At 40.9% G+C, this 23,830-nt stretch overlaps 1 protein-coding gene across 15 annotated transcripts in view, besides 2 other annotated features; it reads left to right on the forward strand.

Annotated features, from left to right (window-relative positions):
- Positions 408 to 1,277: a silencer, noted in NCBI's record as "silent region_3991". NCBI's record gives its function as "represses an Ori minimal core promoter by ATAC-STARR-seq in GM12878 lymphoblastoid cells {active_cell/tissue: GM12878}" and the evidence as "EXISTENCE:reporter gene assay evidence [ECO:0000049][PMID:35858748]".
- ARHGEF12 (Rho guanine nucleotide exchange factor 12) overlaps positions 821 to 23,830 on the forward strand; it is a 153,525-nt gene continuing 130,515 nt past the window's right edge. For 9 of the 15 annotated variants that reach the window (NM_015313.3, XM_006718805.4, XM_047426659.1 and 6 more), the window contains exon 1: positions 821 to 1,683. In NM_015313.3, the coding sequence (NP_056128.1) occupies positions 1,652 to 1,683 (32 nt within the window). In that variant the 5' untranslated portion in view covers positions 821 to 1,651. Of the gene's footprint in view, positions 2,278 to 23,830 lie in introns of all 15 variants that reach the window. The other 6 variants (XM_011542720.3, XM_047426666.1, XM_047426663.1 and 3 more) reach the window with 2 other exon arrangements.
- Positions 17,913 to 18,127: a silencer, noted in NCBI's record as "fragment chr11:120224214-120224428 (GRCh37/hg19 assembly coordinates)". NCBI's record gives its function as "represses an EF-1alpha promoter that drives an FKBP-Casp9 reporter gene in an ReSE screen in phorbol 12-myristate 13-acetate-treated (for megakaryocytic differentiation) K562 erythroleukemia cells {active_cell/tissue: K562(+PMA)}" and the evidence as "EXISTENCE:reporter gene assay evidence [ECO:0000049][PMID:32094911]".

Consider the following 23,830-nt stretch of genomic DNA (forward strand, 5'->3'; position numbering starts at 1 on the left):
TTCTCCCAGTTCTTTCCACAACACGCTTGTTAAGTCGCCATGGAAAGCACCATGCTTTATCAATTTGGCAAATAACACATTTCATTTTGCCAAGGCAGAAACAGCCTAAAAGTAATATTTATACCGAGAAACCCTGGCTGCAGTCCCCAGCTGCTCTCCCGCAGCCCTGCGCCTCCGGCTCATGCAGCGCTCTCCCCCCGGAGCCGGCAGGTGCCCAGGTGAGCGGGGCCTGCGGAGGCAGCGAGGGGCGCCGGCCGGGAACCGGCAGAACGCGTGCAGCCAGAAGACAGGAGAGATAATACATTCCCTTAAGTAATAAAAGTTTCCAGGACAAGGGGGGCTGGTAATTTTCAAAGAGCCTCCCGGCACGATGTCCTCGGGATCTGGGGGGCGCTCTCGGGCGGTCTCTGGTGAAAGTCGACTTAGTACAAACTGGACTCGAAGGGGCATGTCTCGGCACTCAGGGGCCCAGGCGCCGCGGGAGGTGGGTGGGCCTCCCGGGGCTGCACGGGTCCCACCTCCCTCTGCCCCGTAGGACTACTTTGCCGCTCTCCCAAACCGGGCTCCGGCGGAGGCGTCCGTTCAAGGGCGAGAGCGCGGCCCTGAGCGGCGGAGGGATCCCGGGTGAGGCGGCTTCCCGAAGTCAGAGGGGAGGGGGCCATAAAGTCGGCGGGGGACGGGAAGCGCGAGCTCGCGCCGGACGCGGCCAGGGCCGGGAAACCAGAACCGGAACCGGAACCCGCGCGCGCGCCCGCGGTTGCGCGGCCCCCACGGCCGCCGGCCTCCTCCGCTGTCTGCGCGCGCGCCCGCGAGGGCCTCCAGAACCCGGCGAGCCGGCCCTGCGCCGGGAGACGCCGCCGCCTCCGCCTCCCGGACCAGGGCTTCCAGGCCGGGCCGGACGGGCATCTCCCGCCCCTCGCGGGGAGCGTCGGGGAGGAGCCGCCGCCTCTGGCGATTGCGGAAGAGTCCGGGCCTCAAAGGGATGGGGAGCAGTCCGCGGCGCTGAGAGACCCGGGTCCCTGTCACCTCGGGCCGCGGGACCTCTCCGCCGGCGCCAGCGGCTCGTCCCAGCACCGGGAGCCTGGTGAGGGCGGCGAGCACAGAAGGAGCCCCGGGCCCGGGACATGGAATCGCGCGAGCCCGGCGCGGGACGGCCGGAGACGCGGCCAACGCTGCGGCCACGAGCAGCCGGCAGCCCCAGATAGAGAGCCGGGAGGGAGGGCCCCGGCCCTTGCCGCGGCGGGGAGTTCGAGGCCCCGAGACTCCGGAGGAGGAGCCGACACCCGTCCGTGAGCTGATCCCGCCCCAGCCCCGGCGGGAGTCCCGGGTCCCCTTCCCACTGCGCGCGGATTTCCCTCTCTGAGGAAGTTTATCCTTGTGCCTTCTGGAGGATTTCTCTCTAGCTCGACTCACTCTGGACTGACTCGCTCCCTGGCTTTCTCAGTTCGTTTTGGGAGATAACTTGTTTTGCTCCAAGCCGCATCCGTTGACCCCTTACAGTCGGATGGTCTAGATGACTGAATGGAGTTTTGAGTTGGACTTTTGTGTCCCTGACGGAGTTGGGCCTGATCCCAGAGCACTGGGGGTGGGGAGGAGGTGTTACTGTAAAATGCAAGTTGGATAAAAGGAGGACCTCTCGCCAAGGGCCCCAATGAGTGGCACACAGTCTACTATCACCGACAGGTTGGTATGAATTCCTCCTTCGTTCGGCCTCCCGGAATCGGGCCCGACCTAGCAGGGGAGTCGGTGATTGCAGATTGCCTTTGGCCAGCGAAGTTGACAGGCAGAGGAAAGAGGGTTGTTTCGGAGCTGTGCAGTTAGCCTGGGGTTGCTGCCGAGTTATCCAGTTGATTGGCTTTTGGAAATGTAATTTTTCCGGAGAGAAACTTCCCTTCCGATTCTCAGAGAAGGGGGAGGCAAAACCATGATTGTGGTTTTCCGCCTGTAGTGTGCATTAGGATTGTGTACTCGTCTGGAAATCAGAGGAGAAGGTCATTTTAGGTGAAGGTCGGTGCCTGAAGTCGGCTCGGTATTGGTGTATTATTTATCAGCTTTAGCCGTGTCCTGCAGTAGATTCTCAAGACAATTACATTTTAGGAATTTCTACCTGTGAACTTAATGTTGAGCCTACTGCATGGTGATCTGGGAACTTGATCTCTTTCAGATGTTGACCTGCACGGTGTTTAATTATTATCTAATAACTTTCCAGAATGTTGACATTACCAGTAAATCACAGGTTCTTGCTGGAAGCAATGTCCAGGAGCTGAAGAAATGAGGGTAAATCATGGGGTTTGCTTTTAATTCTTGTATTTAAATATTTCGTCTTCCAGAAACACTTGGCGTTTAAGAGATATAAGCCGTAAGCATAGTGTAAGCGCGCAGCTGAATTTGTTGAGTTCTGTGTCTGTCCTTTATAGCACCTACCAGTGTTGCATGGTGGTGGGTGGCGAATTGAGCTAGACCATGTGTGGTTGAAGTGCAGTTTGCTTATCCTAAGTTACTCTTGTTTATAGGGTAAGGGATAAAAAGCATATTGATTCCTTGACCACATTTCATTCTCAATTTAATTATGACACTGCATGCTAGTCCCAAATTTGTCAGCTTGCTTTATTTTTAAGTCAGTCTTCGAATTATTACACCGTGAAAAAATAGATCAAGTAACTGAATTAGAGGGCCAAAGCTCTTTGATGAAAAGTGCAACAATAGTGCTTCTGCACAAAGTAGTCTTAATTTCCTAATAAGAGTTTTACCCAATTGTAAGACTCATTTGTTGATTTTAAAAGGGCCAAATTCCATTATCATACCATAACAGCTACTCCAGAAACAGAACTTCCTCTTCCTGTTGATGCTTTCCAGCATCACATGAATGTTCACTTAAAAGAGTCTGTTAAATATTTAAAGTATTTATATTTACTCTTTGTGTATTTTTCAAAGTGGGTTTTCATTTTCAATGAAATAATTTTTAACTTTTCCAAGAATACACTTAAGATAAGTATTGACAATGCTTATCTTACTTTCTTCTGGTTATCCCCATTTTTTTCCTTTCAGGGTGTTTTGCTTCTGAGAAATCACTTTTACGGGTGTGGGGATAATTGTTTTCCTGCTTCATTCAATTCTCGCTCTTTCTGTTGAGCCTGTAAACAAAAGTCTTGCTAGGAACTAATGTAATGTTGGTTTTCATTGCGATGCTGAGGTGTTTAATTTATGGAAACAGAACGGACTCATTCCACACACAAGTGAGTGAAAAGCCCTCAAGTAATGGTTTTTCTTCAGCATTGCTTCTCAGGGATTTTCCTTGTCTTCTCGTTATCTTGGAAATAGAATCTTGGAATTTGTATCCTCTTTATAACGTAGATGGCATATAAACATTCAATAAATATGAAATTACTGAAAGCCTGTTTCTTTTCTTTTTCTTTTTTTTTTTTTTTTTTGGCCAGGCACTGTGCAGGCACAAGAGATTACAAAATGAATATTGTAAGATTAATCTGCAAATTGGTTTGGGCATTAATGTTTTTTGAACTGGTTCAGGTGCTGCTGCCTAATTTTACATTTTTTTTTTTTAAAGAAAAGACCTTGGAAAGCCAATTAATAAGCACTGCTGAGACCTGTTTCGTAGGATTTTTTTTTACTAGGGTCTTTTTTTATTAAGAATTATTCTTATTTGACCACATTTAAATATATTTTGTAAATATAAAGCATCCATTTGCTGTTAAGAGAGTAGTTGTTCCTAATATGAATATATGTTGGGGTGAAATCTGGAGGTACTGGTTTAGTATTATTTCTCTGCCAAGGTGTCTTAACAAAGTTACGAGTATATAATAGTTTCTAGCTTTCTGTCAGCCCTACCTCATCCTTTTTTCGTAGTGTCTAACTCTTACTGTAGGTATATTTTGCTGACTCTAGAACTGTTGGAAAATTAACAGCACCAGTGTAGCTTTTTAGATAGAGATCCTTTCAAGTTTGAAGTGCTGTATGTGGTATGGCTTTGTTTCGTAGAGTGTGCAGAACCACCAGGCCAGCTGTGTGAGTTAGAGTTCTTTCATTGTGGTGCTTCTGACTACAGAGTCTGTCTGTCCTCAGTTGAAATCAGACTAGCTGGTTTTGGGCGTTGTTCTGTTTTGCAGTTTGTGGCAGGCGACACATGGCTGAACAAGATAAGGGTTTTATTCTTGTGTTAGGGACGTGCTGGGGCTGGGATGGAATTCAGCTATGTTTAGGCTCTGATTGGTCACTTTGGATACTCAGAACTCTGTTACATCCTGTTATTATTTTGCAGTTAAATCAACACATTAACTTGCTCTCTTCTCTTTCCCTTCATCTTTTACTCCCCAGTCCGCACCCCTTAAAACCTAAAACTCAAACTTTTTAAAAGACTTTAAACTCAAACTATGTTCATGGTAGCTATTACTTCTATGTAGTATATCCAAACAGCTTTAAAAAAAATGGTAAGCAATTTATGAGCCCTGGAGTCTGTAGTTTTCATCGTTTAGAATGAGCACTTGACAAGTGTAGAAATGTCTGATTGCTGCTTTTTAGTCTGCATTGATTGCTGCATTCAGTCTTAAAATACATCCTAATCGTTTCCAATCCTCCTACATGTCTTTCTTGTATCCCTGAGAATTTAGGGGTCCTATAGCAATTGGAATTTCTTCTGAGAGGTAGACAGGAGAGAATGCCCTTTTAGTAGACTCAGTAAATGATTTCAGGCCAGTGTCTATAACATTGAATTTTCAGGGACAGTACAGGTAGGAAAGTTATAGGGTTCTTCCTTGAAATAAATGGACTTTTGTTTTGGCTAGGGCTTATGAATTTTGTAGTTTTTGATTTATAGATAAAGACAGGTTTTTGATACAATTTTTTTAAAGCACTGAATTCAGCTTTGAGCTGTTTAACTTAAGCAGATTTTTAAAGTGAGTGTGGAAACCTGTGACTTTATATGCCTGTACCCAGTAATTAATGATACTTTTCATTAGTGATACTTTTTCTGTCAAAATTGCTGTATAATGGTTTTGATTAAAAAAAAAAGAGCTACTCATGTTTATATGTTATTTTCAACGTTGCATGAGTCATCTCTCGGCAAGGTGAAATTATTTGTAACCTTTTCTTGTAAAGTCAGCCAGTCCATAAATACAAAATTGAAATGGGGGCCAAAGATCACAGTGTTAGTTTTGTATTCAGTTTTATCTTTGCCTTTTTAGTTCAGTATAAAATCTTGAGTCATAAAGGTATGCAATAGTACATTCACTTGTACAGTTTTACATGAGTCAACATGCAGAATCTAAAGTAACTTTTTTTGAAAGTACAGTGTTGTAGTCTTCCTGATTAATGGTACATTTATATGATGTTCATATTCAGTAAGGTGACAAGAGAAGCTTTATTTGAAATCATTACAAAAATATGTTAACCTTGGAATACCACTTAACACATTGGTGGTTTCCGGTTGTTAACATGTATATACCATCGAGTTAACATGTAGGTTTTTTTCTTTTTTGAGTCTTGCTCTGTCACCCACGGTGGAGTGCAGTGGCGTGATCCCCTCACTGCAACCTCCGCCTCCCAGGTTCAAGCGGTTCTCCTGCCTCAGCCTCCTGAGTAGCTGGGATTACAGGCACCCACCACCACGCCTGGCTAATTTTTGTATTTTTAGTAGAGACGGGGTTTCACCATATTGGCCAGGCTGGTCTTGAACTCCTGACCTTAGGTGATCCACCCGTCTCGGCCTCCCAAAGTGCCGGGATTACAGGCTTGAGCCACCGAGCCCAGTGGTTTTTTTTGTTGTTGCTGTTGTTGTTTTTTAACTAAGTTTGAGTTTTCAGTTTAAAAAATGAAATTTGAGGCAAACATTCATGGAATCCATAAATGGTGAATTTTACATATGTTTCTGTGGAGCATTGCGATTCCAGGGAAAACAGTTGGAAAATATTTCATTGTACATATGTGGTTGCCTCTTCTAAATGTCATCCAGTGGTGGGTATGAATTGCTTCCCAAACTGATACGGGTCACAGAAACAGCAAGATAACATACTGGTTCCCAGAGGTAATTGAAGGGACTCTTTTGCATCATGGTTGTCTGACATTATTAGAAATGTTTCTTATATACTTGCTTGTTTCCTAGAAATTGACCATGACACATTTTCAAGAATAGTAGCTTAACTTCTTTTGGTCTTTTCTGTTAAAACTTGGTTTTGATGATGTTCCTGAGCTTTATTTGAAGACATGCTCCTTTCCCTTATAATAATTACAGGTTTTCAAAATAGTGCCATGTGAGTTAAAATTTTTAAATCAACAAAATTATATTTTTGCCTTCTTTTGAGTAAAATACCATCATGTAGGTAATGATATCCTGTGGTAGTATAATTCTTTAACATTTACAATATTTTCAGTTCAGTACAGGGCAGATCATGCTTCTGTCATTTACACTTTAAGCTAATTCATACAGTTTAAGTCAAGATTTTAAGTCAAGATTATAAAACTAGAAAGGGCAGACCCAAGATTTTAACCTAGATTTTCTGGCTCTCAAGTCCCCCATTGTTTTTTTTCATTTTAAATTATTGTCTTTCTTTGTACTGTATTTTTCTGTGCTATTTTCCTTTAGTAACTCTCCAGCTTGATGAAGTCAGTTGGATTTTTCTCTTACAGCATAGTTTCTAGTACCTTACCCATTCTAATTTTAAATATCTCTTGAGGATAAAGCTTTTGTCACTTCCTCAGGAGACTGAAGCACAGTCTGATAGATCTTGCTGTCAGGAAGTTTTTCCTGATCTTTACGTCTAACTTTTCTTTTAAGTTGTCCTGTTACTTGTATGTACTTGCTGTACCAGGCTAAATAATGCTCTCCTCCCATTTTATGTTTGTATGATTCTAAATGTTTCAGACGGTTATTCATTATCCTTTCCGGTCCCCTTCCCTTACTCTTTGCTTAGCCAAGCTGTATGCTTTCTGTTGATCCATTGTCTAAAAATCAGCTTATCTTAATATTTCATTAGCTTTTTCTCAGTTGCTCTCCTACTGCAAAAATATGGGTAAAGAGATTCTCAAGGTCATTTTGATTCACTTTTATTTTAGATAGTCTTTAGGATGGATATGAGATATGTCACAGTCAAATGAAACAAATTTATACAAACAGCATGATTACCAAATCAACTAATTAAGCAATTACTCATGTTCTAAAAGGCTTTTTTACAAAGCGATTCTTTCAAATATGAGTACCCTCAATGTAACAAATGTTATCAATTCTATGACAAAAGGGTAGGGTATAGAAATAATGTTAGCCACCTTTGATGGAAAATCATCTTGTTGCAATATGATGAAATACATCAGGAAGTTGTTTCTTATTTTTTCCAGTGGTTTTTCAGTTCGTTATCTTAAATTGTAGGTCAAAACATTCCTCGATGTTTGGTTTATTTTTACCTTATTGTTTTGTCTCCTCTTATTTCCACATGTTAGTGAAATAACAATGCTTAGCAGTATTTTTTTTTTCAGTAAAATGGATATTGTGAAAATTGAAATATTTTACTTTCTTGCTGTTGTATTTACAAGAATTGTTAATGACAAGACAGTGTAACAGAAAAAGTGCATATTTAGATTATTATAAAATCTGTAAGACTGTAGACCTTTTGAATACTTTATTAGCATATTTTCTTTAGTACTATTTTAGTTTCAAATTATTGAGATAGATGTCCTTGTTTTGTATTTTGCTAATATTAATATTTTGTATTTTGGTAATACTAAAATTTGCAAACATGCCAAATTTAGAGCATTTTACTTTTTCAACTTAGAATATCTGGAATCATCAAGATAGTCATATAGGGAAGACCGCTATAAGACAGCTTCTAACTCCAATAGAAGCCTATGAAGCTAGTGCCTGGTCAGAGGCTGTGCCTAAATTGCATGAGTATATAGTGTCGACTTTTAGTAAAAGAAAAAATACACTAACTTTACCTCTTGAATTAGCATGCACCAATGCAGTTTAGATTCATACCGAAACAGGATCTTTTACTAATTCAAATGCTGAGTCCTGGTTTTTGAGATCACAGTCACATGACAGGCCTGGGTGGCTTCTCAGTGTCTAGAGACAAGCAAATCTACTGGCCAATGAAAAGTAGGTTTCCTGTCTTGGACTGCAAGTAACAATTCATGCAGAAATTGGAACTATATAAGAGAGCCTGGTTTTAGTTAATGCTTTCAATTAGCTGCTTGTCACACTGCTTTTTCTTTTGGTGTTATATAACACATTAGAGTCATTTAAAGGTACACTCTGATACTACAGTTTTTGTCAAATATTACATATAAATGTTGATTTTACATTCATATACTCAAAAGATCAAAGAGGACTTTGTAGATCTTTTATGGATTCAAAAAAATGTAGATTATTTTGTTGTAGAAAAACTGGCCAGGCGCGGTGGCTCATGCCTGTAAATCCCAGCACTTTGGAAGGCTGAGGTGGGCGGATCACTTGAGGTCAAGAGTTCAAGACTAGCCTGGTCAGCATGGTGAAACCCTGTCTCTATTAAAAATACAAAAATGAGCCGGACCAGGTGGCACATGCCTGTAATCCCAGCTACTCGGGAGGCTAAGACAGGAGAATCACTTGAACCCGGGAGGCGGAGGTTGCAGTTAGCCAAGATTGCACCACTGCACTCCTACCTGGATGACAGAGCAAGACTCCGTCTCAAAAAAAAAAAAAAAAAAAAAAAAAAAAACTGGAGACTTCATCAGCCTCTGAAGGAATGATACCTGAAATTGATCTTGTAATGCAGAAAGTGGCTATATGTTATCCAGAAGAGTAACAGATACCCCAAATACACTTGCTAACACAAGAAATCCTGTGAAGGTGCTTAGACATACCCTTCCATAGATTTTAGATGGGTTATCTGCCTATGTTCCAGACACAAGCCGATATGTTGTGGTTTGCCCAGTACAGTCTCTGTGGTTTACTGAGAGGAAGTGGTTCTTGTGGGTGAAGGTCTGATCTTTTCAGAGATTGTTGGTGGCATATGCACTGTCAGCCTATTTCCTGTTTTATTGGCTGTTTAGCAAGACCTTCTTAGGGCAAGTGCTGCTGAAGAGGTATTTAAATATTTTGTATTGGCAGGATAGATGGTTATAATGATGTATTATTATATCACTACTTCTCAGGTGATATGAGAGTTAAATGAATGTTTGTGAAGTGCTTTGAGATCTTAGGATGAAAAGTACAGACATGTTCTTAGTCATTTGCAGGTTACTGCTATGTTCAGATATTGCTCTCTTGAAGTTAAAACTTGTTCATGTAGTAAAGTGTTACTCTATTAAACTTGATTTCTGTAACCATTCAAGTGTTGTTTTATCACCACAAGAGTCATGATTAGAATTTTTCCCCTTTTTTTCCTTTCTTTCAATGCTCCTTTATGATTTTACCCTAGAAGAGTTTCCTTAATAGATTCCTTGCTCTAGTACTGGTTAAGGCATATTTACCAAACTTAACACCTAGCAAGCTTGTCCAACCTGCCTTATTTTGCTGTTGTTCTTCTGTTTTGTTTTGTTTTAGGCTTTCAGCAGCCTGAAGCCATGGTTTTTAGTTTCTGTCTCTAGTGATAAAACGGAAAGAGGGATGAGGAAGGGGCTTTACTGGCCCATCCAGAAACAGAAACTAAGAACCCATGACTGTATTCTCTCCCTTGAACAACTGTAACTAGAGCAAACCTCTTTGCCAATTTAACTGGCATACTAAAATAATGAAATTGTGAGAATTTCCTTTGAGATTAGTAACTGTACCATCCATATACAAAACACTATATTGCTTTGCTGAAACCTGAAAGTGAGCAAACTGATAGAAATGCATATAACAGGCCGGGCGTAGTGGCTCACGCCTGTAATCCCAGCACTTTGGGAGACCGAGGTGGGCGGTTCAGGAGGTCAGGAGATCAAGACCATTCTGGCTAACACGGTGAAACCCCGTCTCTGCTAAAAATAGAAAAAATTAGCCGAGTGTGGTGGCGGGTGCCTGTAGTCCCAGCTGCTGGGGAGGCTGAGGCAGGAGAATGGCATGAACCCAGGAGGTGGAGCTTGCAGTGAGCCGAGATCGCGCCACTGCACTCCAGCCTGGGCACAGAGCGAGACTCCGTCTCAAAAAAAAAAAAAAAAAAAACGAAATGGCGTATGTCATACTCCTAAATATATATATATATACAGTATTTAGCCTTGGACGTTAAAAAAATTAACAATGAATGGGGGAAGGCTTTATTTAAAGCTAAATTGTTAGCTAATACGTGAGTTCTTCAAGGGTATAAGAATAGTTCTTATTCATTTTTAAGTAATTATCGGTAGCCTTATTATATTTTTATTTTTTAATACTGAAAAGCAGAAGGAAGAAAAATAAATGGCCCAAATGATCCAACTACCCAGATGTTGCTGCTCAGGTTAAACGCACACACGCATACACACACAGAAAATTCAAATCATATAAAATGGTATAAAAAAAAGTATTCCTACACACCTGTTAGTTTTCATACCTTCTCCTCATAGGTAACAATAGTTAATTTTTTTGGTTTATCTTCTGAAACATTTAAAAATATATACCAGCCTATAATTTTATTTTTTGCACCTACTCCATAATAAGTGTATCTGTCTTCTTTTGCTAGGTTATGCTGCTGTAGCAACACTATCAAATTTCAGTGGCTTACAACACTGCTTTTCTTCTTGCTTATGCTACACCTTGTCAGCTGTGGATTGACTGCAGCATTGCTTCACGTTTCTTATTTTGGAACCCTGGCTCAAGGAGCATCCCCTGTCTGGGCTGTGCCATTATTGTGGATGAGGGAGAGAGCAAGAAAACAGATGCAGACATACAATGGCTCTTAAAGCTTTCACTCAGTCATGTTGTATGTCACATCAGCTCACATGTCAGTGGCCAAAGCAAGTCATATGGTCAGAGCTCACTGTCAGTGGGGTAAGGATGTATAGTCCTTCCACAGGTGGCATTGCAAGTTGCATGATAACAGATAAGGCTGTATAATCCTCTTAAGGAAAGTGGAGGTTAAATAATTTGGAACAATAAATAATATAGTCTACATCAACAAGTTCAGTAAATGCTTGTTAAATGGGTTATTTGGAGTCTATGAAAGTTTCTTTTTTTTTAGTGGGAAATTCAAACATAAACAGAAGTACAGAGAATGGTATGATGAACCTCCCTTGTTCCCTTTATTACTCCAGCAGTTAATGTACGGACAATCTTGGTTTATCTGTTTTCTTTCCCCCCTTCTCACTAGATTATTTTGAAGCAGTTTTTGGATATCATAATTTCACTTACAAGTATTTCACTAAGTATTTTTAAGAGATAAAGTCTGAACGTGTGACTTCTCATAGTAAATTATTACTGTCTGATAGGGTGAGGTAATAGTACTATATAGACTGACAGGTGTCAAGCAGCAGAGCACGTTCATAGAGCGTATCTAGAATTTGACAGCCTGAACTTGTTTTGATTTCATTTTGAGTATTTCTGGAGGAGGCTTACAACAGAATGCCATCTACTTTTCCAGCCTCTCCCTTTCTTTCTTTCTTTCCTTCCTTCCTTCCTTCCTTCCTTCCTTCCTTCCTTCCTTCCTTCCTTCCTTTCTTTCTTTCTTTCTTTCTCTTTCTTTTTCTTTCTTTCTTTCTCTCTGTCTCTCTCTGTTTCTCTCTCTCTCTCTCTCTCTGTCTGTGTGTGTGTGTGTGTGTGTGTGTGTGTGTGTGTGTAGCAGAAGCAGGTAATTAACCTCTGGAAAAAATAACATTGCAACAGATTTGATTTGCAGAGGTTTCATTTCTCACTGAGCCTCTGTTGGAATGATGCCAGTTGAAAGGAATCCCAGCTCTTAATGGCTCCAAGTCTTCTGGGAGCTCTCAGTGATGTTATTTTCTTTGGAGAAGAACATCAGAATCATTTATAAAAATCCTGTGTTCACCCATGCCATTTGCTCTGTGGAGAAAGGATCTATCATATCTTTAAGATGATCTCTAAGATGATATAAAAGTAAAGAAATTCATCTATCTAATTTTAGTTTAGAAATCATTAATGCCAATTTCAGCTGCTCAGGTTAGTTTGTCTTGAAGGCCTGAAAGCCTCCATTTTGATTCAAGATGTCGTAGATTTTATGAGCATTCAGTATAACCAGTAAGTTTGTCATTTCCATGGTTGTAGGGAATATGAGACATTCTGTTATGGATCTAGGATTACCGTTTCACAGGACATTCTTTTTTTGGGGGGATTGTTAGGTAATAAACAGTGGGACACAAAATAAACAGATATAATCTCTTCAGTTTGTAGATTTTCAGGTGACAATGAGGTGGCAGAAGAGGATTTGTGCAGATTAGGAAATAAATAATTATTGTATATAACATGATGGAAATATTTTAGTATAGTACCACTATCAAATTAATTTTGTTTCCTTAACTAGCTTCTTTCATTGTGTACAGAGACACTTATATTAAAGTAGTCTTTATAGATATCCAGTTAGCTTTAGTTTTTTCTAATTACATTATATTGCTAGTCTCATTTCAGAGTCCATGTAGGAACTACAGTAGAAAAGTAGCTATCATTGGCTTGTAAATAAAATTACTTAATTTTGAGTTTTTCTTGGGAAGGAAAAACCAGTTTTACAGAATTAGTGGAGTTGATTCTGGTTTTGGTTACTTGTGACAATATAGTCTATTTAAAATATAAATAAATAAAAATTTGCCCAAGAAGAATAAGTTTGACTTGCCATGATTCATACTGTTTTTCTGTTGTTGTATCACAATTGAGAACATTAGTTTCAGAGGTAATAGTTTGTCAGTATGGGTCGAGTAGCTCTAATCCAAAAATCCAAAATCAGAAATGCTTCAAAATCTGAAACTTTTTGGGTGCCATGTGCCACAGGTGGAAAATTCTACACGTAAGTACATAATACAAACTTTGTTTCATGCACAAAATTATTTACAGTAGTGTATAAAATTACCGTTAGGCGGGGGCCAGGCATGGTGGCTCAAGCCTGTAATCCCAGCACTTTGGGAAGTCGAGGCAGGCGGATCACCTGAGGTTGGGAGTTTGAGACCAGCCTGAACAACATGGAGAAACCCCATCTCTACTAAAAATACAAAATTAGCTGGGCATGGTGGCACATGCCTGTAATTCCAGCTACTCGGGAGGCTGAGGCAGGAGAATCGCTTGAACCAGGGAGGTGGAGGTTCAAGCGAGCCAAGATCATGCCACTGCACTCCAGCCTGGAAAACAAGAGCAAAACACCGTCTCAAAAAAAATAATAATAAAAAATTACCTTCAGGCTGTGCATATAGAGTGTACGTGAAACATTAATGAATTCTGTGTTTAGACTTGGGTCCCATTCCCAAGATATCTTACTATGTATATGTAAATGTTCCAAAACACAAAAAAATTCAAAATGAAACACTTCTGGCCCCAAGCATTTTGGGTAAGGGATACCCAATGTGTACCTTTGTTAGGATAATATACTTGTACCTTGGTTGTATTTTAGTTGCAATTGTTAGTTGCACAATTTGGGGGAATGTTTGAGGTCTCTATAGTAGTTACTGTATTTACCAGGAAGCCCTGCATGATTAGAATTCTTGAGACAGTGTATAAAGTTAAATTGGGTGTGTTGCCTGGATGTGAACAGTAAAAAAGGAGAAGCTTCTCACCATACAATTATAGCTTAAAAGGAACCAGGTACAATTCTGTTTCCAAAAATAGAAAGTAAGTCAAATATTATATGGATATGTAATAGTAATTATATTAATTTTGACTCCCTGGCCGACTTTTTTTTTGAAGCTATCATTTTTTGTCAGAGATAAAAAGTAGCTTTTAAAGGAAAAGATATCTCAGCCCTTAATTATGTGTGTGTGTATGTGTGTGTATGTATTTATTTATATATTTTAGCCCTTGTAAGAGAGGAGCAGTGGAAGGGAACTGAAGGAGCATGATATAGAGAAAAGAGCCTGGGTTTTGGTGTGTTGCATTTGTTCTGTTACTAGCTGGGAGACCTTGGGCAAATTTACCTCTCTGATCAGCAGTTTAATTTTTTCATCTGTAAAAATGGGAAGAATACCTACTTTGCAGAATTGTCGTGACGATTAAATGAGAGTGTGTGTGAGTACCTAGCACATCGTAAGAGAGAGCTCAGTAAGTTATAGTAGCTGTTATTGTTTAAACTTCAGGAATTAGCTAGGTTTTGCTAGAACTTTCATCTGTGCTTGTAAGATCTTTTTGAATCCATATGTATTTTTAGCAGCTGTGGCTAAGATAGTTTTTTTCCCTTGCTGTGATAATATTCCTTATCTTTTATATTTCAGGCTATTGTTAGAATTAAATGCGTTTGCGAGTGAGGAATAGATTTAAGAGTTATTTCAATTCAGACCGTGGAACATCTCTTCACAAAATGGGTTAGTTTGGATTGGCAGTATACTTTTAAATCTGCCTTCGATCACTCAGAATTTGTCCAGTTCTGTATTTATTAACATCAGTTTGTTTATTTATTCAGTAAATATTGAATGCCTGTTCTGTGTAGGTCATTGTCTTGGCAGTTATTTTGAGCTCTTGCTACCTGCTGAATTATATCTTAAAATGAAGAAATTTACATGATAGAGTGATATTTATTCATCTGTGCTGAAGATTAAAGTGAGAAGTATGTGGCAGGCGCGGTGGCTCACGCTTGTAATCCCAGCACTTTGGGAGGCCGAGGTGGGCGGATCATGAGGTCAGGAGATCGAGACCATCCTGGCTAACACGGTGAAACCCCATTTCTACTAAAAATACGAAAAATTAGCCGAGTATGGTGGTGGGCACCTGTAGTCCCAGCTGCTGGGGAGGCTGAGGCAGGAGAATGGCTTGAACCTGGGAGGCAGTGCTTGCAGTGAGCTGAGATCACGCCACTGCACTCCAGCCTGGGTGACAGAGCAAGACTCCGTCTCAAAAAAAAAAAAAAAGTGAGAAGTATGTGTATTTGGGGGAAGTTGTAGAATGAAATAATAATGATTAAATTGATCTTATTTCCAAATTTTAAAAATGTGGTTACTTTCTATCACATACTGTCTTTTTATGTTTTCCTTTTTATTTTATTTTTCAGTTTAGTTATATTTCAGTGAACTATTTAGACCAAAATGGAAAAGACATTGGTGTAAGTTGGAATCTAAGAAGTTTTAGATGTTCATTGCTTTTGAACAGAGGAAGTAACATTTTATGGATTGGGCATTGTTTTAGTCACTACTTGAAGGAGAACCTCTTACTCATTATCAGTCTCTTGGAAATAGCAACTGATTAAGCCTATATATACTTTGTGCATCCAGTGAAAATGTGATAAATATGATGATCTTTTGGTCAGAGAAGGATTCTGGAAACTGCAGTAGTTTGATTAGTAAGACAGTGTTTAAATCATGATTACTTGTTGCTCTAATATTTTAGACTTTGAAAGATGACAAGATGTGATGTAGGTGACAAAGAGCATTTTTAAAAATGGGTGAAATTGGCCGGGTGCGGTGACTCACGCCTATAATCCCAGCACTTTGGGAGGCTGAGGCGGGCGGATCACAAGGTCAGGAAATCGAGACCATTCTGGCTAACACGGTGAAACCCCGTCTCTACTAAAAATACAAAAAAAATTACCTGGGTGTGGTAGCAGGCGCCTGTAGTCCCAGCTACTCGGGAGACTGAGGAGAATGGCATGAACCCGGGAGGCGGAGCTTGCAGTGAGCCGAGATCACCCTACTGCAGCCTGGGCAACAGAGCAAGACTCCGTCTCAAAAAAAAAAAAAAAAAAAAAAAGGTGAAATTTAGGCCTATCAAGATACTTGGGATGTAGGAAAGGAATATATATATATATATATATATATATATATATATATATATATATATATTTTTTTTTTTTTTTTTTTTTTTTTTGAGACAAAGTCTCGCTCTGTTGCCCAGGCTGGAGGCTGGAGTGCAGTGGCATGGTCTTGGCTCACTTGAACCTCCACCTCCCTGGTTCAAGAAATTCTCCTGCCTCAGCCTCCTGATTAGCTGGGATTATAGGCACCCGCCACCACGCCCGTCTAATTTTTGTATTTTTAGTAGAGACGGGGTTTCACCATGTTGGCCAGGCTGGTCTCGAACTCCTGACCTCAGATGATCTGCCCGCCTCGGCCTCCCAAAATACTGGGATTCCAGGCATGAGCCACTGCGCCCGGCCGGATGTTACATTTATTGAGTACATATTAAGTACTGCTCACTGTTTTAGGTACTTCCTGTGCATTGTCTTTTTTAACCTTTCAACTAAGCTAAATACTGTTGTCCCTGTTTTAAAACTGGGAAAAATGAGCCTCTGAGAGGTTCACTAATACCCAAGCTGACATAGTTTCTAAACAGAAGACTTGGGATTATTACTCCGATGCTCGCTTTTTTGAAACTACTGGTCACAGTCGTTTGTGGTTATTGGCTCATCTAGATCAATCAATTGGATGAAACCCAGAAAATAGATTTTGTCTTCAACAATACCATTAAAGAGTTGCCTTCACATTAAAATTTAATAACTACATCTTATCCTTTGTACTCTTAATCACCTGTTTTCCCTATTTTCTTTTCCAGATTTCTGACATGAGGGATTTTGTCTCATTTGCTCTAAAGAGTGAACCTAAACATTGTGTTTAGGTTTGTTATTAGTTGCTTTAAATATATACACATCTGTAAACATTGAACTTTTTTGATGCCTCATCTGTGTTGCTTATAGATCATTTTCCATCATAATTATTTTAAAGTCCTTTTAAGAAGTTTAAGGCCTATCTCATATATGTAATATATTAATAGTAGATAATCAGGCCTTTGGAAGCATAAATGATGTAAGTAAGTTGGGTTGCAGTTTTTTCTTATCAAGAATCTGCGTGTGTTTAAGTGGCAGTGGAGATAATATTTTTATTTGCGTTGTTATAGTGTTATCTTTATCATTTAGTTTATATTTTCTGCCATTTAAAGATAAAAAGGTTTTATCTTTTATAGCTATAGAGTCATCTTCTGAGCCTTAAAACACTTGTGTTTTTTTTCTTTTCGCCGTGTGGGTGGGGAAAGGGGTGTGTGGCAATGGCCCTGTGCTTTGCCTCTGCCTGAGTTACAGGCGTGCTTTGTTTGCCTGGCTGGGGTTTGTGTCTCCCATGCTCAGGAGGGTGGAACCAGTTTCCCAGGGCCTGGGCCCTACCTATTGTCATTCTCCCCATAAGGGGATCTGTTACGTGTACTTGTGGGACCACACAGTGCTCTGGGCAGATAAGCCTCTTCCTGCCTATATCAGAACCAACATAGCCCACACACATCTGGGAAAGCATGCCAGGGTCAGCACCCCAGGCGCCCTGTACTCCCAGCCCATTCCCCTTCTTCTTCCCACTCACCTGGAATCCCTGACCCAAGGCTCTACCTATTGGTTCTAATATTCTGGTGGACAGAATCTAAGAGTCCAGCAAGCTCAGAATCTCAGGACCTCCTCATCCCTTTAGGAACCATCAATTAATCTCATGATTTCAGGTTGAACCACTGGAGTCAATTTCAGAAGTTTTGGTCTATCTCAGAACCTTCAGATCACACTCAAAAGCTTGGGGACAGCCTCAGAACCTTGGGACACATCTCAGCATACAGGGTCATCAATCTTAGAACTTGAGGTCTGTCTCAGAACCTTCATGCGAAACTCAGAATCTTGGGAAGTCCCAGGACCTTGTGCCCGGTATTATACCATTGGATCAATTATCACAGTCGCAGAATCTTGAGGTCCATCTTGGAATGGTGCAGTCAGCCTGAACCGTGGGATCAAGTTCAGGGACATGAGAACAATCTCAGAAACTTCTGGCCAGTCCTAGGTCTGAAAACCTTCAAAACAGCAACAGACTCTTGCGGTCCATCTCAAAACTTGAGATTGTGGTCTAAAAGGGACCCTCAAGACTATCCATCCAGTCCCTTCCTGGAATACAAGTCACCTCCACAGCCTCCCTGATCTCGCTGTCTAGTCTTTGCTATGAGCCCTCCTCGATAGGGATACCTGGCCCCTACCCACTGCCTGCCTTGCTTCTGGATGGCTCCAGCTACTAAATGATGTCTCCAAAATGTGAGAATCTGAAATCTGTCTCCTTTTTCCCACATCAGCCCTCTGAGACCTCTGCAGAGATTTCAAGGCAAGACCCATATGCTCAGGGTAAGCTTTGTCCCAGACTGCCCACACTGGGTTCCTCCCCTGACTTCCAGATCTCCACCCGCCCTTCTGAACACTGTTATCTGCAACACAGTTACCTGTTTATGCATTTCAATTTTGAGCCTATAGGATATCTCATACTGCAAAGGAAAAGCCCATTGGGAATGTCTGGGGTGGAGGTGGATGCCCAACCCTGTGCTGGGTGATGCTGGGGGAATCACAGCAGGATACAGAGCCCCAGAACCCCATGGGGTCCCAGAGGAGGAGCCCAGAGGAGGAAGCGGGACCATACCTGGAGGGGCTGCCTCTGATCTCCTCAGAGACTAGGGGTGCAGTGGGAGGAGAAGATAGGAGATGCCTAGAGACCCTGGCCCCACAGAGATGCCTGTGAGAAGAGGGAAGATTCCTGTTTCACTATTCTCAAGAGCTGGGAGAGGCTTCTGAGAGAGAACCTGTAATCCCAGTCGGCCCAATTACAGATAGGAAAGATAAGGCTCAAAGAGGGCTCAGTCCTACCCCAGAGTGGTTGGGTGAGTCAGGACTAACAAGTCCTCTTTCCCATTCCCCTGACATCATAACTCTCCCCACCATGATGTTATGTTGCTGCATTTCAGTCTTCTCACTGGCCATCTTCTCACATTCCAGCTTGACACTAACTAGGAAGGAGAGAGACCATGGGGGTCCCACACACCCCATATGAGCCAAAGTGAAAAACATTGTTACTTTTAATCTCATTTCTTCTTTGTAAATGATTTTTTGTCTCTGAAATTCTGTGACATGAATCAGTTTAGTCACTTTTTATCTTATTAAATGGAGAGAAAAATTGCTTAAGAGATATTTAGGTGTGTTGTTTTTTAACCCTTTTTGGTTGTAAATTGTTTTCTTTCTTTGTTTTAGTAACCCCAGAAAATCTAGAAGAAAATCTAGAAGAGAGGTAGGCAGATCATTGGTTTAAAAAAAGAAGCCCACCAACTAAATCTTTTATTGAGTAAAGTATTGTTTCTAGGTAGAGAAAGATTAGAGAATTGTATTGAGAATTTTACTAGGTTTGGGATTTACAAAGAGGCTAACATGCAAAAGGCAGTGCTCTTCGAAGGAGTCGTATAGATGTGGAGACTTTATAGCCCTTAGGGAGATCTACAGACATCCGCTATGCTGAGTTCTGGGAAGCTGCTTTTTCCCATGCTTGCAGCCTCCCCGTGGGGTAAAGGTCTGTTAGTTTTGCATAAATATTTACCATATCTCATTTTAGCTAGCATTGCTTCCTCACACTGTTAGCACTAAGGAGAACTTTGCTTATCCAGCTTGAAAAATTTACTGTGATCGATATGACTAATCTGGAGGATGTTCTGTCATCTTTGAGCATTGATGAAGTTAAAAAGTCAGATTGGCAAAAATAATGAGGGGGAAAGCAACCGGTTCACAGTTGACAAACATTTGCCCATGCTTGTTTTCCCATATTTATTTTTTTAAACGAGAAGGTTATTACACAAGCAGCATTTCAGTCTTGTCACACCCAATAAATTATTGTTGCTTTTATATGTTTATTTGTATACTAGTCGTTTACATTTGCATTTACTATACTTTTACAACTGTTTCCTTATTTTGTAACCATGAACACCAGCTTCTACATGTAAAGCCTCATTCTAGGTACTTTATATACATCATATTTAATAGATATAATAATTGTACAAGGCAAATGTTATTCCCATTTTACAGATGAGAAAAAAACTTAGATTCAAAGACATTGATTGACTAGATCAGTATTTCCCAGCTATAAATTTTTTTGGAACCAGGTTTTAAATTCAAGTCTTTTAGCGGGGCACAGTACCTGTAGTCCTAGTTACTTAGGAGGCTGAGGTGGGAGGATTGCTTGAGCCCAGGAGCTCCAGGCTGCAGTGAGCTATGATTGTGTCAGTCTACTTCAGCATGGGCTACAGAGTGAGACTCTGTCTCTTTAAAAATAAAAAATAAAAAAACCCAGATCTTTTTGACTCTTGATTCATTACATTTGCTACTGTACCCAATTTTATGTTACTCCAAATGAAAATATTCAGCCAAAGAAGGTTATTTAATCTATTTTAAGATAAATTACAGGAGTAATTTCTAAGTTGTGTTACAGGGAATATCCAGGACACTTTAATAGGAGTGTATTTTTTTGACTCATGAGCCCTACAACATTCAGGCATTCAAGGCCAAAGGTAGAATGTAAAATGATATTAAAAGGCAACCTTCAGACTTTGAGTTTATTATTTTAAAAAAGATCCAGCTTATTATGGAAAAATGGCCTAATCCATTTTATTAGTCAAAAACAATCCAACATTTGCAATTTCATGTGATTCAGGCTAGGAGCAATCTATCAGTATGACTGCGTCTTAAATCTTGTCAATATTTGATAGGATTCTACTTTAAAATTTTTGTGTTTTTGTGTCTCTTACCTTCTACTTCTCCTTCACTCCATGTCTTTTTTAAAATTTTTTATGTTTTTGAGACCGAGTCTTGCTCTGTCTCCCAGGCTGGAGTGCCGTGGCATGATCTTGGCTCACTGCAATCTCTGCCTCCTGGGTTCAAGCGATTCTTGTGGCTGAGCCACCCAGGTGGCTAGGATTACAGGTGTGCGCCACCACACCTGGCTAATTTTTTTTTAAGTAGAGATGGGGTTTCACCATGTTTGCCCAGCTAGTCTTGAACTCTTGGCCTCAAGTGATCTGCCTGCCTCAGCCTCCCAAAAGAGCTAGGATTACAGGCCTGAGCCACTGCGCCCAGCCTCCCCTTATCTTTTTGCATGTACACTTTGTCTTTATTGTCATCACTAAGCTTTTAATCTTTCCTTTGTTACCCCATCTAGGTCCTCTGCTCTCCCTCAACCTTTTACTTATTTCTGGTTGAGCCCTTTTGTCATTCCCTGCAATTTTCTGACCATGTAGTAGATACCCAGTAGGCTTCCTGGATTACTTGGTTTTTCTGTATTTTGCTAAAAAGTTACTCCAAAGATGATACCTTCTATTTGGACCTTTCCCACCCTTTATATACCTATCTAGGAGGTAGTAACCCAACCATTAATCTCTCCATGCAAAATACATGTATTGACTAAAAATTATGTGCTAGGTACTGTAATGTTTCCTACCCATTATTTTACTTAATTCTCACAATTACTCTGTGAGGTATTCACAGGTGAAGAAAGAGAAAGTTTAAGTAGCATGCCTAGTGAGTGGTAAAACTTGGATTTTAGTATGAATCTGTCTGACTTCCCAACCTGCACTGTTTTTTTTTTTGTTTTGTTTTGTTTTTTTTGAGACAGTCACCCTCTGTTGCCCAGGCTGGAGTGCAGTGGCGTGATCTCAGCTCACTGCAACCTCAGCCTCCTGAGTAGCTGGGACTGCAGGCATGTGCCACCGTGCCCTTCTAATTTTTGTATTTTTAGTAGAGACGGGGTTTCACCATGTTGGCCGTGGCTGGTTTTGAATTCCTGACCTCAAGTGATCCGCCTGCCTCAACCTCCCAAAGTACTGGGATTACAGGTGTGAGCCACCATGCCTGGCCCCAGCCTGCATGCACTCTTAAACACTATCCTATACTGCCAGATATGGTCAGAGTTGAATCAGATACTGTTTCTGCCTTTTAGGAACTTCGAGTCTAATAGAGGAAGATAGAGAACTAAGTGCACAGGGCACAGTGGAGACTGAAAGGAGAAAAATCATTACTTTTTGGACAGATCACAGACAGCTTCATAGAGGAGATGAATATATTTGCTGAATCCTGGAATGTGGGATGTAGTTACTGGACAGGTAAGGGATAGAGGAACAATTCAGGTAAAAGAAACAATCAGGTTTTTTTGAGACAGAGTCTCACTCCATCACCCAGGCTGGATTGCAGTGGCATGATCTTGCCTCATTGCAACCTCCACCTCCTGGGTTCAAGGGATTCTTGTGCCTCGGCCTCCCAAAATACTGGAATTACAAGCACGTGCCACCGCAGCTGGCTAATTTCTGTATTTTTAGTAGAGACAAGGTTTTGCTGTGTTGGCCAGGCTGTCCTTGAACTCCTGACCTCAAGTGATCCGCCCACCTCAGCCTCCCAAAGTGCTGGGATTACAGGCGTAAGCCACCGTGCCACCAAAATAAGGAATATTAATAAGGACATAGAGGTGAAATAGCTCACATTTTCAGGAACTGCATATAGTTCAGCATGGCTAGAGCATGGAGGTTGATGATGGATGGGCACAGCAGTTGGTAAAGTTGGAGTGATAGGTGGTACCAGATTATGGAAGGCCTTTTAAGTCATTCTAAGGAGTTTGGATTTTAACCTCTGGATTGTAGGGAGCCACTGAAGGCCTTCAGTCAGAGAGGCAGTAAGCGTTATGTTATAAAAGATTCTTTCGGTGGTAGCGTGAAGAAAGGATTAGTCTTGAGCAACAGTTTCAGGGGCAGAGAAACCAATAGTGAGACATTTTTCAGTAATCCATATGAAAAATGATACTAATAAATTCCTAAACTGAAGTTGTAACATATACTTAAAAGCGAAGAGACAAAGTTATTAAGAAGATACTAAGAATACCAGCAGGGTGAAAGGTGTGTGGTCAAAGTGTGGGGCTTTCTGGGTTGTGTCCTTGGGTAGGGGTTGGTAATACTTAGCAAGATAGGGAATGTAAAAGGGAGAAGGCAGGGTTTTGTTTTGTTATTTTTGTTTGGCTGACTGATAAGATGGAAGATGGAGAAGAGAACAGACATAGTAAGGGATAGATTTAGTTTAAGTTACTAAATCTTTAGTTTAAGTATTCACTATCTGTTGTATGATAGATTATCCCAAAACAATAAACTTGCACTATCCACTATGGTAACCACAAGACAAATGTGGCTATTTACATTTAAATTAATTGAAATTAAATAAAATTGAAAATTCAGTTCCTCAGTGACACTAGCCACATTTCAAATATTCACTAGCCACATGAAGCCAGTGGCTACAGTACTGTTGGTTGATCATAGAACGTTTTAAATTATTGCAAAAAGCTCTTTTGGACAGTGCTGCCAAACATTTATCAACGCATAGTTTACTAAGATCAGAAATCGGTGAGCAACTTTGCTGGGTGGTTCTGCTTCAAGGTTTCTCATGAGGTTGCAGTCCAGGTGTCTGCAACTAGAAGCAAGGGCTTCAGGAATCTGAAGGCTCAACTGCACCTGGTGGGTCCATTTCCAAGGTGACTTACTCATGCTGGTCAAGTGAGTGCTGATTGTTGGTAGGAAGCCCTAGCTCCTCTGTTGGTAGGTGGACTTCTCTGTGGGGATGTGTGAGGCAGCTGGCTTTGCCCTGAGTGAGTGATTTTAGCCAGAGAGGGAGGTAGAAGCCATTATAACTTTTGTGAGCTGACCTCAAAAGTCACACTACATCATTTCTATAATCTGTTGGTTACACAGGTCAGCACTATTCACTGTGGGAAGAAACTATACAAGGGCATGAATACCAAGAGTCAATGGGGCCCATTTTGTTTTTTTGAGATAGGATCTCACTGTGTTGCTCAGGCTGGGGTGCAGTGGTGTGATCATGGCTCACTGCAGCCTGAATCTCCCAGCCTAAAGCAGTCTCTCATCTCAGCCTCCCAAGTAGCTGGGACTACAGGCATGCCACCATGCTCAGCTAATTGTATTTTATTTTTATTTATTTATTTATTTTTG

Source organism: Homo sapiens, chromosome 11 (assembly GCF_000001405.40).
Source record: "Homo sapiens chromosome 11, GRCh38.p14 Primary Assembly".
NCBI classification, from domain to species: Eukaryota; Metazoa; Chordata; class Mammalia; order Primates; family Hominidae; genus Homo; species Homo sapiens.